The sequence below is a fragment of the Homo sapiens genome, chromosome 14 (genome assembly GCF_000001405.40).
Source record: "Homo sapiens chromosome 14, GRCh38.p14 Primary Assembly".
Lineage (NCBI taxonomy): Eukaryota > Metazoa > Chordata > Mammalia > Primates > Hominidae > Homo > Homo sapiens.
In genome coordinates this window covers 50,742,406-50,760,359 of record NC_000014.9, presented here as the reverse complement: position 1 = coordinate 50,760,359, position 17,954 = coordinate 50,742,406, and the positions used below count along the sequence as shown (strand labels likewise).

General features: G+C 40.2%; 1 protein-coding gene and 1 long non-coding RNA gene across 32 annotated transcripts in view, besides 2 other annotated features; one reads left to right on the top strand and one right to left on the bottom strand.

The window, feature by feature from the left end:
• NIN (ninein) overlaps positions 1–17,954 on the top strand; it is a 111,741-nt gene that overhangs the window by 71,144 nt on the left and 22,643 nt on the right. For 14 of the 31 annotated variants that reach the window (XM_047431452.1, XM_047431453.1, XM_047431450.1 and 11 more), the window contains 7 exons: positions 1–503; positions 5,493–5,618; positions 5,728–5,797; positions 7,627–7,842; positions 12,255–12,368; positions 15,995–16,117; positions 16,831–16,944. In XM_047431452.1, coding sequence (XP_047287408.1) covers positions 1–503; positions 5,493–5,618; positions 5,728–5,797; positions 7,627–7,842; positions 12,255–12,368; positions 15,995–16,117; positions 16,831–16,944 — 1,266 coding nt within the window. Of the gene's footprint in view, positions 504–1,729; positions 3,869–5,492; positions 5,619–5,727; positions 5,798–7,626; positions 7,843–12,254; positions 12,369–15,994; positions 16,118–16,830; positions 16,945–17,954 lie in introns of all 31 variants that reach the window. The other 17 variants (XM_047431439.1, XM_047431438.1, XM_047431432.1 and 14 more) reach the window with 3 other exon arrangements.
• Positions 33–182: an enhancer, noted in NCBI's record as "active region_8362". NCBI's record gives its function as "activates an Ori minimal core promoter by ATAC-STARR-seq in GM12878 lymphoblastoid cells {active_cell/tissue: GM12878}" and the evidence as "EXISTENCE:reporter gene assay evidence [ECO:0000049][PMID:35858748]".
• On the bottom strand, positions 14,284–16,896 carry LOC124903313 (uncharacterized). The gene is made up of 3 exons (XR_007064161.1): positions 16,808–16,896; positions 15,950–16,285; positions 14,284–15,317 (listed from the first exon to the last, which is right to left on the bottom strand). It is a non-coding gene; the product is annotated as an uncharacterized LOC124903313 (long non-coding RNA).
• Positions 15,259–16,458: an enhancer, noted in NCBI's record as "BRD4-independent group 4 enhancer chr14:51210620-51211819 (GRCh37/hg19 assembly coordinates)". NCBI's record gives its function as "activates an origin of replication core promoter dependent on BRD2, P300/CBP, MED14 and CDK7 cofactors, and independent of BRD4, by STARR-seq in HCT116 cells {active_cell/tissue: HCT116}" and the evidence as "EXISTENCE:reporter gene assay evidence [ECO:0000049][PMID:35650434]".

Below are 17,954 nucleotides of genomic sequence, written 5' to 3'. Positions count from 1 at the left end.
GTGCGCCATTATGAAAAGCAGCTGGACGAAACCGTGGTCAGCTGCAAGAAGGCACAGGAGAACATGAAGCAAAGGCATGAGAACGAAACGCACACCTTAGAAAAACAAATAAGTGACCTTAAAAATGAAATTGCTGAACTTCAGGGGCAAGCAGCAGTGCTCAAGGAGGCACATCATGAGGCCACTTGCAGGCATGAGGAGGAGAAAAAACAACTGCAAGTGAAGCTTGAGGAGGAAAAGACTCACCTGCAGGAGAAGCTGAGGCTGCAACATGAGATGGAGCTCAAGGCTAGACTGACACAGGCTCAAGCAAGCTTTGAGCGGGAGAGGGAAGGCCTTCAGAGTAGCGCCTGGACAGAAGAGAAGGTGAGAGGCTTGACTCAGGAACTAGAGCAGTTTCACCAGGAGCAGCTGACAAGCCTGGTGGAGAAACACACTCTTGAGAAAGAGGAGTTAAGAAAAGAGCTCTTGGAAAAGCACCAAAGGGAGCTTCAGGAGGGAAGGTAAGAAAGTGAAGGGAAATGAAGCTACCTGGGGCACCATCCCTCGGGGCATTAGAAGTGCCAGTTGTGGCTGGGCGCGGTGGCTCACGCCTGTAATCCCAGCACTCTGGGAGGCCGAGGTGGGCGGATCACGAGGTCAGGAGATCGAGACCTGGCTAACATGGTGAAACCCCGTCTCTACTAAAAATACAAAAAATTAGCCGGGCGTGGTGGCGGGCGCCTGTAGTCCCAGCTACTCTGGAGGCTGAGGCAGGAGAATGGCGTGAACCCGGGAGGCGGAGCTTGCAGTGAGCCGAGATCGCGCTACTGCACTCCAGCCTGGGCGACAGAGCGAGACTCCGTCTCAAAAAAAAAAAAAAAGTGCCAGTCGCTTAAGAGACTTGAAGAAGTCAGAAGGCATAATAGCCCATTGATTGAGTAGACTCTTTTAAATATTTTTTTACTGTTTTTGCCATTATTTTGATGTGAACCTACCTTGGGATGATTGGAACTGTTTTTATTTTGTTATGTTTGTAAAAGAGGAAAGTATTCCTCGTATTAAGATTTATTCTACCTTATAAGGCTCAAGAGGAGGATAAGATTATCCCAAAAGTGGTTCCTTCCTAGTTCAATCCTGTTGCTTTCTGAGAAAAGCTATTAATAAACTGGATTCCAGGCAAGGTTACATTTCCTCCCAGAGTTAAGAAACAGCACTCCATGCTTACATTCCTCATGTGAAATCCCAGGTTTATTTGAGGGCTTTGTTTCGTCACACGCTGATTGACTTGGTGCTACTTCGTTAAGTAAGAAGCAAAAGCAGAATGAATTTGTTCATATGTGTCATTTATGTGACTGATATCCTATAACGCATGCTTAATTAAAATGAAGGAATGGTATATATTTCCCAAGTGAGGAATTAGATTAATATACATTTGGTCATTTGTCTTTGGTTTAAAAATCCATAAACAAATACATCCGGGAGTGTGCCAGAGAAATTAGTTTCTAAGATTTCCCCCTAACTCCAGAGAGAGGTAAGTCTTTTAAATGAATTATGGCTGCCAGTCTTAGCTTTCAGAAATGAGATCCCTTTCCAGTATAAATGAATCACATAGGAGTAAGTTAAGAGCATTTTTAGGGAGTATTTCAGTTGTTTGCTCAGCAGCTTTCTCAGTGCATGGGAAAATGGTTTTTGTTTGCTTCTGGAGTTGGCGGCAGTTTCAATAATGCTGTATGTTGACTATATTTAGGGAAAAAATGGAAACAGAGTGTAATAGAAGAACCTCTCAAATAGAAGCCCAGTTTCAGTCTGATTGTCAGAAAGTCACTGAGAGGTGTGAAAGCGCTCTGCAAAGCCTGGAGGGGCGCTACCGCCAAGAGCTGAAGGACCTCCAGGAACAGCAGCGTGAGGAGAAATCCCAGTGGGAATTTGAGAAGGACGAGCTCACCCAGGAGTGTGCGGAAGCCCAGGAGCTGCTGAAAGAGACTCTTAAGAGAGAGAAAACAACTTCTCTGGTCCTGACCCAGGAGAGAGAGATGCTGGAGAAAACATACAAAGAACATTTGAACAGCATGGTCGTCGAGAGACAGCAGCTACTCCAAGACCTGGAAGACCTAAGAAATGTATCTGAAACCCAGCAAAGCCTGCTGTCTGACCAGATACTTGAGCTGAAGAGCAGTCACAAAAGGGAACTGAGGGAGCGTGAGGAGGTCCTGTGCCAGGCAGGGGCTTCGGAGCAGCTGGCCAGCCAGCGGCTGGAAAGACTAGAAATGGAACATGACCAGGAAAGGCAGGAAATGATGTCCAAGCTTCTAGCCATGGAGAACATTCACAAAGCGACCTGTGAGACAGCAGATCGAGAAAGAGCCGAGATGAGCACAGAAATCTCCAGACTTCAGAGTAAAATAAAGGAAATGCAGCAGGCAACATCTCCTCTCTCAATGCTTCAGAGTGGTTGCCAGGTGATAGGAGAGGAGGAGGTGGAAGGAGATGGAGCCCTGTCCCTGCTTCAGCAAGGGGAGCAGCTGTTGGAAGAAAATGGGGACGTCCTCTTAAGCCTGCAGAGAGCTCATGAACAGGCAGTGAAGGAAAATGTGAAAATGGCTACTGAAATTTCTAGATTGCAACAGAGGCTACAAAAGTTAGAGCCAGGGTTAGTAATGTCTTCTTGTTTGGATGAGCCAGCTACTGAGTTTTTTGGAAATACTGCGGAACAAACAGAGCAGTTTTTACAGCAAAACCGAACGAAGCAAGTAGAAGGTGTGACCAGGCGGCATGTCCTAAGTGACCTGGAAGATGATGAGGTCCGGGACCTGGGAAGTACAGGGACGAGCTCTGTTCAGAGACAGGAAGTCAAAATAGAGGAGTCTGAAGCTTCAGTAGAGGGTTTTTCTGAGCTTGAAAACAGTGAAGAGACCAGGACTGAATCCTGGGAGCTGAAGAATCAGATTAGTCAGCTTCAGGAACAGCTAATGATGTTATGTGCGGACTGTGATCGAGCTTCTGAAAAGAAACAGGACCTACTTTTTGATGTTTCTGTGCTAAAAAAGAAACTGAAGATGCTTGAGAGAATCCCTGAGGCTTCTCCCAAATATAAGCTGTTGTATGAAGATGTGAGCCGAGAAAATGACTGCCTTCAGGAAGAGCTGAGAATGATGGAGACACGCTACGATGAGGCACTAGAAAATAACAAAGAACTCACTGCAGAGGTTTTCAGGTTGCAGGATGAGCTGAAGAAAATGGAGGAAGTCACTGAAACATTCCTCAGCCTGGAAAAGAGTTACGATGAGGTCAAAATAGAAAATGAGGGGCTGAATGTTCTGGTTTTGAGACTTCAAGGCAAGATTGAGAAGCTTCAGGAAAGCGTGGTCCAGCGGTGTGACTGCTGCTTATGGGAAGCCAGTTTAGAGAACCTGGAAATCGAACCTGATGGAAATATACTCCAGCTCAATCAGACACTGGAAGAGTGTGTGCCCAGGGTTAGGAGTGTACATCATGTCATAGAGGAATGTAAGCAAGAAAACCAGTACCTTGAGGGGAACACACAGCTCTTGGAAAAAGTAAAAGCACATGAAATTGCCTGGTTACATGGAACAATTCAGACACATCAAGAAAGGCCAAGAGTACAGAATCAAGTTATACTGGAGGAAAACACTACTCTCCTAGGCTTTCAAGACAAACATTTTCAGCATCAGGCCACCATAGCAGAGTTAGAACTGGAGAAAACAAAGTTACAGGAGCTGACTAGGAAGTTGAAGGAGAGAGTCACTATTTTAGTTAAGCAAAAAGATGTACTTTCTCACGGAGAAAAGGAGGAAGAGCTGAAGGCAATGATGCATGACTTGCAGATCACGTGCAGTGAGATGCAGCAAAAAGTTGAACTTCTGAGGTAATGTATGTACCTTCTAGACGTCACGAATCCCACAGAGCACCTCACCAGATCTAACTTCCACTGCTTGCCGTGCCTAGAGAAACTAACCTAGTAGTCTTCACGAAGAGAGCAGTACTCTCTAGACTTCCTTCTGCTTCTGTGCCGTATTAACAAATAAAATAACCTTGTTTAGGAGGCATTCCCTTCCGCTGTAGCAAACAAGTGTTCATATGGGGTGTGAAAGTTCACAATGGCGAGTGTTTGCTGTTTAACCATGTGCATCCTCAATGTACCTCTTTAACTTTTTTCTAGCACTTATTTCATTTAGATGGATAGGGGATTTTTTTTTTTTATTTTGCTAAGTGTTACTTTCCTCATTTTGAGGAAACATGTTATATACAAATGAATGATTTTTTGTGTATTATTAACTTAGTAGATAAGAACTCACTTCTTATGCTAATATAGAAAAAATGTTCTGTCTTTATAGTTTTGTACTCATATCACTTGAAGCACATGCTGATAACCCATAAACAGTGCAAATGGTCAGGCACCATGGCTTAAATGCCTGCAATCTCAACTGTTTGGGAGGCCAAGGCAAGAGGATTTCTTGAGGCCAGGAGTTTCCAGGCAAGCCTAGGGAACATAGCAAGACTGCCTCTACAGAAAAATAAAAAAATGTTTGCTGGGCGTGGTGGTGCACACCTGTGGTCCCAGCTACTTGGGAGGCCGAGGTGGGAGGGTTGCTTGAGCTTGAGAGGTCAAAGCTGCAGTGAGCCATGATCATGCCATTGTACTCCAGACTGGGTGACAGAGTGAGACCCTGTCTCTTTTAAAAAAAAAAAAAAAAAAAAAAAAAAAAAAGAGACAAAACAAACAGTGGAAATTTATCTTAGAACATATAATTTGAGGAGCCTCCAGATTCTAATAAATATGCTTGAAAAGCAGAGATACAAGTAGAATTAATTTGAACCACTGCCCACTTGACATTGTAAAATATAATTGCATAGTCTTCTAGCAAATTTGGTTTTTCAAAAAAAAAAAAAACTTGTAAACTATTACAGGACGTCTGAAATGTCTCTGAAATAATTTAATTCTGAATGTAGTTTTTCCTCTTCTTCAGACCATTTTTAGTCCTAAAAATCAGAATATAATGAGATGAATAAAATCACAAAGTAAACAGTGTACATATTTCATTGTGGCCCTTTGATTTCAATAGAGAATTTTCTTTCCCTAGGTACCCAGGGGCCTAAAACTAAGCTAATATAGCTTTGTAACATGGCTTATGTGTATTCAGAACAGGTAGGACTTGAGACTGAGATAAATGAAGACATTTGCTCAAAGCAGTATGCTTGCCATTGAGAAAAATCAACAACCAGAATGAGCATTGAGTCTTGATTCATTTCTCCAGGCTTAAGGGTTTTTTAGCTACACTTCTCTAACATCTTTTAGTGAAATTCTTACTTCCCAAAAGAAATGTGTCAATATGTCATAACTCGATTTCCAAATACTAAGAGACTACTAATTTAGACTTTTCTTTTTAACTGGCATTGAATACTCATCCTTTTGGAAGTTACTAGAAAATATTTTCCAAAGATGCCAGATGACTGCCTTGTAACAATTTTTTTCAATCTCTGTGCTTCAGATATGAATCTGAAAAGCTTCAACAGGAAAATTCTATTTTGAGAAATGAAATTACTACTTTAAATGAAGAAGATAGCATTTCTAACCTGAAATTAGGGACATTAAATGGATCTCAGGAAGAAATGTGGTAAGACGTATACTTACATTTTCCTAAGACATTTTTGCAAAGACTAAAATTCTTTTACTTCAGCTTTTAAAGCCTAACCATTAAATTTTATTTTCATCATTCCTTTTAGGCAAAAAACGGAAACTGTAAAACAAGAAAATGCTGCAGTTCAGAAGATGGTTGAAAATTTAAAGAAACAGGTAAGGAAATACTTAATATTTCTCAATGTTTTTTGATTCCAAAATTTTCCCATTTTTTGAAATTTATAAATTTACAGCACACGGTAATGAATAGCATATAGCTAATGATGGTAAGGTTGTAAATTCTGAATTTGAAAATGGAAACTTACCTCATACTGACTCTAAACTAGCTTCCTGTTTTATGTTAAATAATGTATATATTATTCTAGGCCCTAAGTGCTTGATAAAGCTTTATCATCAGCAGAATTGAGGAGGTGATACCTCTAAAACCATACCTACGAAATATTAGCTGTAGCCCTTGTGCAGTTTCAGTTAATGTTAGCCCTTCCTTTTTCCTCACCATGATTGAAAGCAGAAAGTTAAGGGCAGAATTTCACATATACAGAATGCCAGCTAATCAGCATATCATTTCACAGAATTACATTTTATTCAGATAGCTGGTGCCATTCAGTGCTCAATTTGTATAATCTTACAACATGCAGTTATAAAAAGGGAAGGCCATTTAAGAATCTGTCTGAAGCAGTCAAAAGACAAGGACATATTGGGAAAGAGTATTTTCAGCACTTGAAATAGACAAGGTGTTAACATCCAAAATGTATTTTGGACTCTTACAAATAAATGGGAAAATCCAGTTGAAATATAGGCAATCTATATGAATGGTCAAGTCACAGAAAAAAAAAAGAATACAAAAGATGGTTAGCCTTATTAGTGATTAGAGAAGTGCAAATTCAATAAGCGTCTTTTTTTTAACCTATTGAATTAGCAAGAAGTAAAGATTGATATCTAGTATTTAAAAGGATGTGAGGAAATGACTGTGCCCATGCATTGTTGTTAGGATTATAAGGTGGTAGCACTGTGAGGAAGACATATTAGAGATATCTGTTGAAACAATAATGAATATATATCTATATACAGATCTTCTAACCCAGCAATCCTACTTCTAAAAAATAATTCTAAATACAAAATACTACCATGTATAAATGGATTTTCTAAAAGATCCATTTAAAAGAAATAATGATTTTAAAAACTTTATGTCTATCAACGTGGGAACAGATAAATGCATTATGGAATATCTTACTACATGGAATATCCTATAGCCAGTAAAAAGTAGTATGTGGTGGTTGCTGAACACACTGACTTGGAAAGAGTCTTTTTTCCTTTTGAGACGGAGTTTCGCTCTTGTTGCCCAGGCTGGAGTGCAATGGCGCAATCTCAGCTCACTGCAACTTCTGCCCCCTGGGTTCAAGCGATTCTCCTGTCTCAGCCTCCCAAATAGCTGGGATTACAGGCACATGCCACCACACCCGGCTAATTTTTGTATTTTTAGTAGAGATGGGGTTTCATCATATTGTTCAGGCTGGTCTCGAACTCCTGACCTCAGGTGATCCGCCTGTCTCGGCGTCCCAAAGTGCTGGGATTACAGGCGTGAGCCACCGTGCCCACCTGGAAAGAGTCTTTAAGTAAGTAAGTAGAAAAAGCAAGCTGTCCAAACATAAAATTTCCAAATTTTGCTAAAGAGAAGAAAAGAATCTGTATGTGTGTATGGGTTCTGTATATGCGTAGAAAATGATCTGGAGGGACACATATCCAGCTGTGGACAATGGGCTCCCCTGTAGAGTGGGGTCAGACTGAGTGTCTCACTTCTTCATACACTTGTGAATGGAATGAATTTGTAATAATGAGTGTGTATTATTTCTGTTTTGAAATATATATATATTTTAAACTTTATATAAAGAGGGAAAAGACAATTATGTCTCTAAATCTGTTTTTTTTTTTTTTTAGCACAAGTAGGGTAACAAGTTTGAAAAACTTATTTTAATTTTAATTAGATTTCAGAATTAAAAATCAAAAACCAACAATTGGATTTGGAAAATACAGAACTTAGCCAAAAGAACTCTCAAAACCAGGAAAAACTGCAAGAACTTAATCAACGTCTAACAGAAATGCTATGCCAGAAGGAAAAAGAGCCAGGAAACAGTGCATTGGAGGAACGGGAACAAGAGAAGTTTAATCTGAAAGAAGAACTGGAACGTTGTAAAGTGCAGGTATGGCCTGTAGCCACCTGACAGCTTTTTTTGAGGAAATCCCAAGAAATAGAAGAAATGTTTGTATTAAACTTCCTTAAACATAAAGCCTTAGTAATTAAAACAGTATGGTCCTGGCACATGAATAGATAAGTAGGTAAGTGGAATAGAAAGTCTAGAATTAGACCCAAATACAAATGGAAACGTAGTGTATAACCAGGGCCACTTCTCAAACCACTGGGGTAAAGATGGACTTTTAAATTAATGGTGCCTGAACAACTGAGTAGACATTCGGAAATAGATAAAATTAGACCTATGTTTCATTCCATGCACAAGGATAAACTTAATTGGATTAGGAGACTAAATATAAAAAAAAAAAACTATACAAATATTTGAAGAAAATACGGGTGAATTTGTCTTTAACCCTGGTGTAAAGAAAGGCTATTTAACTGTAACTCAAAAACCGGAGGCAATAAAAGAAAACACTGATTATATGTTAAAAAAAGTTTACTTGGCAAAAAGATACCATAAACAAAGTTAGAAGACAGCTGACAAACTAGGAGAAAATATTCACAACATATACCACAGTGAGAAGGCCTAATATCCCTGCTAGTAAAGAACTCTTAAAAATGGAGGGACATGGGACCAAAAATTTGATAGCAAAATGGGAGAAGCATACGAACAAATAAATCATATACAAAAGATAAAAATGGGCCAGGCGTGGTGTCTCACACCTGTAATCCCAGCACTTTGGGAGGCCGAGGCAGGAGAATAGCTTGAGCCTAGGAGTTCAAGACCAGCCTGGACAACATAACAAGACTCCATCTCTACAAAAAGTTTAAAAATTGGCTGGGTGTAGTGGCACACACCTGTGGTCCTAGCTACTCAGGAAGCTGAGGCAGGAGGATCCCTTGAGGCTGTACCACTACACTCTAGCCTGGGTGAGACCCTATCTCTAAATAATAAAATAAAATTATTAAAATGGCCCTCAAATCTATGGAAAAATGTTCAGAATCACTCAAAATTAGAGAAACGCAAATTAAAACAACACTTGTATAATTTCTCACCTATAAGACTGGCATCAATTTTAAAATATGACAGCATACTCTGTTGGCAAGGCTGTGGGGAAACAGACTCTTTCATGCTTTGCTGGGAGAATACAAACTGGTACCGCCTTTTTGTAGGTGAATTTGACAATACCTAACAAAATTACATATGTACCTAGCTTTTGCCCTGGAAATCTCACTTCTAGGAATCTACCCTAAAGATACCACCGCAACAATATGAAAACTCATATGCAGAGGGTTACTCACTGCAGCACTGTTTCTAATTGCAAAATGGTGGAAACAACATAGATGCTGATGTGTAGGAGAGTAGGTGAATACATGTGGGGGTTATGTCCATACCATGAAGTAGTACTGTGCAGCTGTTCAAGAAAAAGGAAGAAAAGAAATCCTTATTTATATGAAATGATTTCCAAGACATACTGTTAAGTGAAAAAAGAAAAGTGCAAAGAAGTATCTATAGAATGCCTTTGTGTGTGTAAGAAAGGGATATTAAAAAGTACATGTCTGCTCATTTGTGCAAAAGAAACACAAGAAGGATAAACCAGAAACTAAAAAGGGAGGGTGGGAAAGGGATGGAACAGAGGAATGAGAATGCGCTAGAAGGGACGAGGAAGAACAATGACACTTCTCTGAGTTTATCTTTTCGTATAGCTCTGACTCTTAGAACCATAGTAACGTTTCACATACTCTTCACTTACCCCCAGAATAAGTGCACAAGTAAAACTAATCAATATGGTAGTGGTGGGGGAAGAAACCCAAAGGGAGCACATACATGAACAGATGAGCCTAACTGTGTTATAAATGGGTAATATAACCACACTGGGGAAGAAAACAATTCTCTTAAGTAATTCAGAAATTAATATCTTGACTGGATACTATCCAGGCTAAAGACAAGATGAACTGTATCTACATGCTATGATAATCTAGTCAGTAAACAGGATTCTCATAAGAGGTATGGGTTAGTAATTCTGAAACTACTATATGTCTTACTAGAATTGAACAAATAAGTAAATATGTTGTGAACAATAAGAACTAGATTTCTCACTGTTGGAGAAGAAGTTGCAAGTGGGGCAATGGGGAATGCTAAGATGAGCCCTCTGATGTTACATTGAGATCTGCGGTATTTGGATAAACTCATGGTTTCTAATATGTATACAAAGCTAGATAGATACAGAAACACAGATGTGTATATATGCATGGATTGCCCAGATCTTGGTTACTAAGCACCATTCTCCTATAAAAGGAACCAGGGTTCCTTGGAAAAATGATTGATTCTAGGGCTGGGGCAGAGAAAAATACAGGATAAGCCTGGAACATCTGATGGGGCCAGAAGGAAAAAGATGTTTTAAAAAAAAAGGACATGTCAAAAGGGCCTGTGTCCTGATGGCCAAAGCTGGAACAATTTGATCACCAAAATAAATGATAGTATAGAATAAAATAAATATAATTATGAAATAAACATAGACTACAATAAATACCAGCCAGGTATAGTGGCTCATGCCTGTAGTCCCAGCACTTTGTGAGGTCAAGGCAGGTGGATCACTTGAGCCCAGGAGTTTGCAACCAGCCTGGCCAACATGGTGAAACCCCATCTCTACAAAAAATACAAAAAAAATTAGTAGGGCATGGTGGCATGCCCCTATAGTCCCAGCTATTCAGGAGGCTGAGGCAGGAGAATCGCTTGAGCCTGGGAGGTCGAGGCTGCAGTGAGCCAAGATTGCACCACTGCACTTCAGCCTGGGCAACAGAGTGAGACCTTATCTCCCCACCAAAAAAACTGAATAAATAAATAAATGAGTCCATATTGATATAAAAATTTAAGCTGGGAGGGAAAACAACAGCTCTAATTCCAATTAATAAATGAAGAAGAAAATAGAAAATCATCATTAGGCAAACACCCCAGTAATAATAGTTGTAGACAAAATGCACTGATAGATGTTAAAATTAATAAGCAGAAGTTTGAGGAGAAATAGAATTTGTATAGTCTCAAAGTATCTCCTCCAAGAAAAAGACAGTAATTTTACAGTGGAGAAACATGCAAAACTTACCTTAGAAATCATGAAGTCCTTGCCCATGCCTGTGTCCTGAATGGTATTGCCTAGGTTTTCTTCTAGGGTTGTTATGGTTTTGGGTCTTACATTTAAGTCTTTAATCCATCTTGAGTTAATTTTTGTATAAAGTATAAGGAAGAGGTCCAGTTTCAGTTTTCTGCATATGGCTAGCCAGTTTTCCCAACACCATTTATTAAATAGGGAATCCTTTCCCCATTTCTTGTTTTTGTCAGGTTTGTCAAAGATCAGATGGTTGCAGATGTGTAGTGTTATTTCTGAGGCCTCTGTTCTGTTCCATTGGTCTATATATCTGTTTTGGTACCAGTACCATGCTGTTTTGGTTACTGTAGCCTTGTAGTATAGTTTGAAGTCAGGTAGCTTGATGCCCCCAGCTTTGTTCTTTTTGCTTAGGATTGTCTTGGTTATACAGGCTCCTTTTTTGTTCCATATGAAATTTAAAGTAGTTTTTTCTAATTCTGTGAAGAAAGTCAATGGTAGCTTGATGGGAATAGCACCGAATCTATAAATTACTTTGGGCAGTATGGCCATTTTCACGATATTGATTCTTCCTATCCATGAGCATGGAATGTTTTCCCATTTGTTTGTGTCCTCTCTTATTTCCTTGAGCAGTGGTTTGTAGTTCTCCTTGAAGAGGTCCTTCATGTCCCTTGTAAGTTGTATTCCTAGGTATTTTATTCTCTTTATAGCAATTGTGAATGGAAGTTCACTCATGATTTGGCTATCATTGGTATATAGGAATGCTTGTGATTTTTGCATATTGATTTTGTATCCTGAGACTTTGCTGAAGTTGCTTATCAGCTTAAGGAGATTTGGGGCTGAGACAATGGGGTTTTCTAAATACACAATCACGTCATCTGCAAACAGAGACACTCTGACTTCCTCTCTTCCTATTTGAATACCCTTTATTTCCTTCTCCTGCCTGACTGCCCTGGCCAGAATTTCCAACACTATGTTGAATAGGAGTGGTGAGAGAGGGTATCCTTGTCTTGTGCCAGTTTTCAAAGGGAATGCTTCCAGCTTTTGCCCATTATGATACTGGCTGTGGGTTTGTCATAAATAGCTCTTATTATTTGGAGATACGTTCCATCAATACCTAGTTTATTGAGAGTTTTTAGCATGATGTTGAATTTTCCATGCCATTTAAGTGGAAAGTCTTTTACGATAAAAAATGGTCATAAAACAGTGTCATTGAGTTCATATTACTGTTTCCTTAATATGGCCTTTTATGAACCTGGTAAGTTTCCCCAGCCTAAATATGTATGTCTGTTATTTGACTTTTTCATTTTTCTCTTAGTCCTCCACTTTAGTGTCTTCTCTGGAGGCGGAGCTCTCTGAAGTTAAAATACAGACCCATATTGTGCAACAGGAAAACCACCTTCTCAAAGATGAACTGGAGAAAATGAAACAGGTAAGGCTGTGTGCAGCTAAGGGGGGTTCACAGAACAATATGTACCTGGTGGGCTCCTGTTGGGCTGGTATTTCTAACCACCAGTTGTCCTTTGTACCAAGTTCTGTCAACTAGCTTGGTAGCTGAGGACATACTGCTTGGCAAAGTTGAGGACCTAAAGTGCAAAATCCTATCTGTAAAGGCTATTGCTAATTATACATGTGTCTAACTTATATATGTTGTACACTCTAAAATCCCCCCCTTTTTTTTTTTTAAGACAGTTTCCTTCTTCCCTCTGTTGCCTAGGCTGGAGTGCAGTGGTGTGATCTCAGCTCACTGCAACCTCCAGCTCCCAGGCTCAAGCAATTCTCATGCCTCAGCCCCCCGAGTAGCTGGGATTACAGGTGCCCATCACCACGCCCAGATAATTTTTGTGTTTTTAATAGAGGTGGGGTTTTGCCATGTTGGCCAGGCTGGTCTTGAATTCCTGGGTTCAAGCAATCCACCCACGTCAGCCCCCTAAAGTGCTGGGATTACAGGCGCGGGCCACTGCATCCGGCCCACTCTAAAATTCTATTATCATAAATGAATCCCAACCACTTCAGTTTAAGAAATTGTTGTTCTGTCACCCAGCCAGGTTATAAAGTAACATATGTTTGTCTAAAAGGAGGGGGACTATCTTGCTTATAACTTTTCTAATTCTGTTCACACTGATTTGTGAGGCACTGAAGAAACTGATCCTTCTGCCTTTTTCTGTAGCAACTATGAGGCATCAGTTCTAGAGCATGATGGCATGCAGTCTCATGAATGTGGCCTTCAGAAGCCTGTTTCAAAGTTTCAAACAAAGGCTTAACTTTAGGCCAGGCGCAGTGGCTCATGCCTGTAATCCCAATACTTTGGGAGGCCAAGGTGGGCAGATCACTTGAGGCCAGGAATATGAGACCAGCCTGGGCAACAGGACAAAACCATATCTCTACAAAAAAATTAGCTGGGCATAGTGGTGTGCACCTGTAGTCCCAGCTACTCAGGAGGCTGAGATGAGTGGATCACCTGAGCTCGGGAAGTCAAGCCTCCAGTGAGCTGAGATTGCGCTACTGTGCCCCTGCACTCCAGCCTGGGCGACAGAATACTCTGTCTCAAAAAAGAAAGAAAGAAAAAAGGCTTAATTTTAAATATGAAAATATGAAAGAGGTCTCAACTTAAAAATTATGTCCTCTCATGGAGAAATGCATTGTTGGAAAAAAACAATTTGCATCCTAAACATTGTCCTGTTTTCAGTATTTACAGGAGTCTTTCAATTGGAACAATCTTGATTTATGGTAGGAAAATTTAGTTGTTCCATTTTATTTGTTTACTTCAGCATCAGATTGTGATGGCACTCATATAAAATTTTCATTCTTAACATCTGTCTCTTCAACCTGTAAGCACAAAGTTGTCCTTTCCTGAATGTGGAAACATTGAGTCTATAAATCTGGTATTATGTTTATGTTGATCTGATTGACTCCTATGCGTCTTGCTTTTTTAATAGCATTATAAAACCCTCAGGGTATGTGTGTCTTTCATAATGCCTAGTATAGTACTGGTACTCAATAGGTGCTTTATAAGAACCTTTTCAAGTTAACTACTGCTATGCAAAATGCATGTTCTGCCGTGACTAGAGAAGTCGCCTGTCCATATAAACATAACAGAAGTTAAAACTCATGGGGCCTTTCTGTAGTGTGGTGAAGTATTCCAAGGCTGTTATTACCAACTTTATCCTAATTAACTTGAGCATCCTTTTTTCCTTGACTTTTTGAAAGCCTGTCTGTTGTTCAGCCTTTAGATGATAATGATTGGTTTCAAATTCATAGTATGGGAAATGTGTGCTTTGTGGCTTTGCTAAGCTGGAGAACAGAAGGAAAGGAGCAGAGCTAGGAGAAAAACAACATGATGGGGATGTCATTCAGCACGTTTTTATTGCTTTTTTTTTTTTTTTTTTAAACAAGCATTGGTATAAATAGTGAGATGAAGAAATTGTGAGCCTGGTCTGCCTTTGGTAGAAAGTTGTTTTATCAGAGACCTGGATCCTTTTGGATCCCAAGAATAGGGTAGCGTCAGCCCATCATTGCTATTATACAACGTGGACCTAGAAGGCATGTGTCACTCTGTATGATATCGTGATTCATAGTTCACAAAGCACTTCTATCTGTGTTATCTATTGCACTGAAAGGAAACACAAATAGCATCAGCAAAAGTTACATGCCAGTTTACAGACATCCAAAATGGTATCAAGCTTTACGGGTGTCTGGAGGGTAGGAAGACAAGGCAGTGGATAAAGTAGAAGGTCCTTTATTAAACCAGTGCCCAGGTATTTCAAAATACATTTTCCTATATCCTTCTGACTTGTTCAGATTTGTAAGGTATGCTGGATTTGTCACCAGTTGAAGACAAGATTGAACCCTGAAAGTCTGTTTTGTCATACTATTCCTACAGCTAAATGTGAAAGAATTTCAGGTTCAGGAAGTAGAAAGATGGTCGTAAAATCATAATGATAATAAAGAATTGAAGAGTCAAGTGAAATAGAGGAAAGTTAAAAACCTATGAACTATGGAAAAGGGTTAAGAAGTGTAAGAAACAGCCTCTTTAAAGCATGGGTTTTCAATAGGGTGAAGGGGTGAGGATTGCTCTCCTGCCCCAGAACATTTATCAATGTCTGGGCACATTTTTTGTTTTCACAACTGGAAGGTGGGGGGTTACTGCCATCTTTTGAGTAAAGCCAGAGACGCTGTGAAGCATCCTACAGTGTCCAGAATGCCCCGCGACCCCCAACGCCTGAAGAATTATCCAGCCCAAAATGAGACTAGTACCAGCACTGATATTGAAGACGAATAAAAAACAGTATTTGGTTTGTCTTGATTTCATGAAGTGGAGAGGAAAAGCCAGTATGTTCGCACCAACAACATTTTACTGGCCAGTCAGCGTAGGCACCTTCTGAAAGGAAGAGTACAGGGAACAAGCTGAAAACACGGTTTTATCTTTAAACTTGCCTTTGGGTTGTTACTTGTATGTGGTTCATGCCAATTCTAGGGGGTTTTTTTGTTTTGTTTTGGAGACAGAGTCTCTGTCGCCCAGCCTGGAGTGCAGTCATCTCGGCTCACTGCAGCCTCTGCCTCCCAGGTTCAAGCGATTCTCCTGCCTCAGCCTCCTGAGTAGCCAGGATTACAGGCATGCACCACCACGCCTGGCTAATTATTTTTAATAGAGACAGGGTTTCACCATGTTCACCAGACTGACCTCAAACTCCTGAGGTCAAGTGATCCTCCCCACCTTGGCTTCCCAAAGTGCTGGGATTACAGGTGTGAGCCACCCCCACAGCCCAATTCTATAGTCTTGACTGGTTTTTTAAAAGGAGAGCTAGGATCATTATTTAACAATGTCTGCCTGGTTCAATCTACCTAAGCAGACATTTCAACAGTCAACTGGGAATCAGAGAGAAGCCAGAAGGGAATCCTTGAAGTTTATTATAGTCTCTGCTAGAGTTTATGTCCTCTGAAATATCCACAGATAGGCAAATAGCAGCAGCTGTGAAAATGCCCTATTTAGAAATACCCCTTTGTACTTACAGCCATGAGATGTGATGGGAGGGCTCATTTGTTTATCTCTTACAGCTGCACAGATGTCCCGATCTCTCTGACTTCCAGCAAAAAATCTCTAGTGTTCTAAGCTACAACGAAAAACTGCTGAAAGAAAAGGAAGCTCTGAGTGAGGAATTAAATAGCTGTGTCGATAAGGTAGTAGAAGTAATAAGACTTTACCATCATCGTATACAATACACACCATAATGAACCTTTCTCTGTGGACAGTGGCACAGGGGCCTCCTGTGGTAGTCTGTTGTTCCAGAGTGTCCTGGAGCAGCATTTCTTTGGCATTCTGTGACCCCAGACTTCCTGCAGCCAAGACTGATGAAGTCTAAATTAGTTGTTTACTAATTATATTATTAAACTCGATAATACAAAATGTTTCTTATCACATCACAGTGCTACTTTATACCGCTATTTTGTTATAATATAAATTATGTGTTTAATAATCTGAGATCAATTTCATAGATAAACACTTTTTTTCTATTTTATCTTCTTTAGCAAATCCCAAAACACCACCTTTTTTCCCCACCTGCCTTAAGAGATATTCTGTTTTCTTCCTATGGTATGCTCTTGAGATTTTTAATGGCCTTCCAGCTTACCATCTTCCACCCTCAAAACATGAGGCAATAGAAAAGAAAAATAGGAAATTTCCAAAAAGAAGCAACTCCTCAAAATTAGACGTGTAAAACAGTCTTTGGTTTGTCTCGATTTGGAGCCAGGAAGACCATTTCCTTTGACCTTGCCCTGCTCCCCTACATAAATAGATGGTACTTGTTCTTGACAATGTAAGTGCAGGCATATAAATTAAGGCTAGCTATGTTTGCAAAAATGCCCTCTTACCTCTTTTTCCCTTCCTGAAACAGTTGGCAAAATCAAGTCTTTTAGAGCATAGAATTGCGACGATGAAGCAGGAACAGAAATCCTGGGAACATCAGAGTGCGAGCTTAAAGTCACAGCTGGTGGCTTCTCAGGAAAAGGTACATGGACAATTCTTGTTTCATCTTCACGGTTAGTATTCTCCTAGATCTTCCAACAGAAATCCCGGTAAAAAGAGTGTTCCAGGTAGAAGTAGCGTAAGAGGGTTCCAAATGATTCAATTTGACCAATGTTTGATGTGTGTTTATAGTGTGGCAAGGCTGGGCATGGTGGCTCACCAGCACTTTGGGAGGCCGAGGTGAGCAGATCACTTGAGGTCAGGAGTTCGAGATCAGCCTGGCCAACATGGTGAAACCTCATCTCTACTAAAAATTAAAAAAAAAAAAAGCCTGGTGTCGTGGCAGGTGCCTGTTAAGTCCCAGCTACTCCAAAGACTGAGGCAGGAGAATTGTTTGAACCTAAGAGGCAGAGGATGCAGTGAGCCAAGATCATGCTAGTACACTTCAGCCTGCACGACAGAGCGAGACTCCATCTCAAAAAAAGAAAAGTAAATATAGTATGACAAAATGATTTAAATAATATTTCAAACATTGCAGCAAAATAATTTAAATATTTCCATCAAAGTTTATTAATTATGAAGGCTTGAGAATAGTGCATAAAAATGACTGCTTGTTCCTAATTTATAGATAGGACTTCTAAGGCAGTTTATGCCCTATTTTGAAGATCTATATCAACATTCCCTTTATGAATTTAAATTTTTAAAATTGGAATTTATATGCGGTATTAGCGTAAAATAGGATTCTTCTTTAAGAGGTGAGGTCTTAGCCAGGCACGGTGACTCACGCCTGTAATCCCAGCACTTTGGGAGGCTGAGGCAGGCGGATCACGAGGTCAAGAGATCAAGACCATCCTGGCTAACACAGTGAAACCCCGTCTCTACTAAAAATACAAAAAAATTAGCCGAGCGCGGTGGCAAGTGCTTGTAGTCCCAGCTACTGGGGAGGCTGAGGCAGGAGAATGGCGTGAACCTGGGAGGCGGAGGTTGCAGTGAGCCGAGATCGTGCCACTGCACTCTAGCCTGGGCGACAGAGCAAGACTCTGTCTCCAGAAA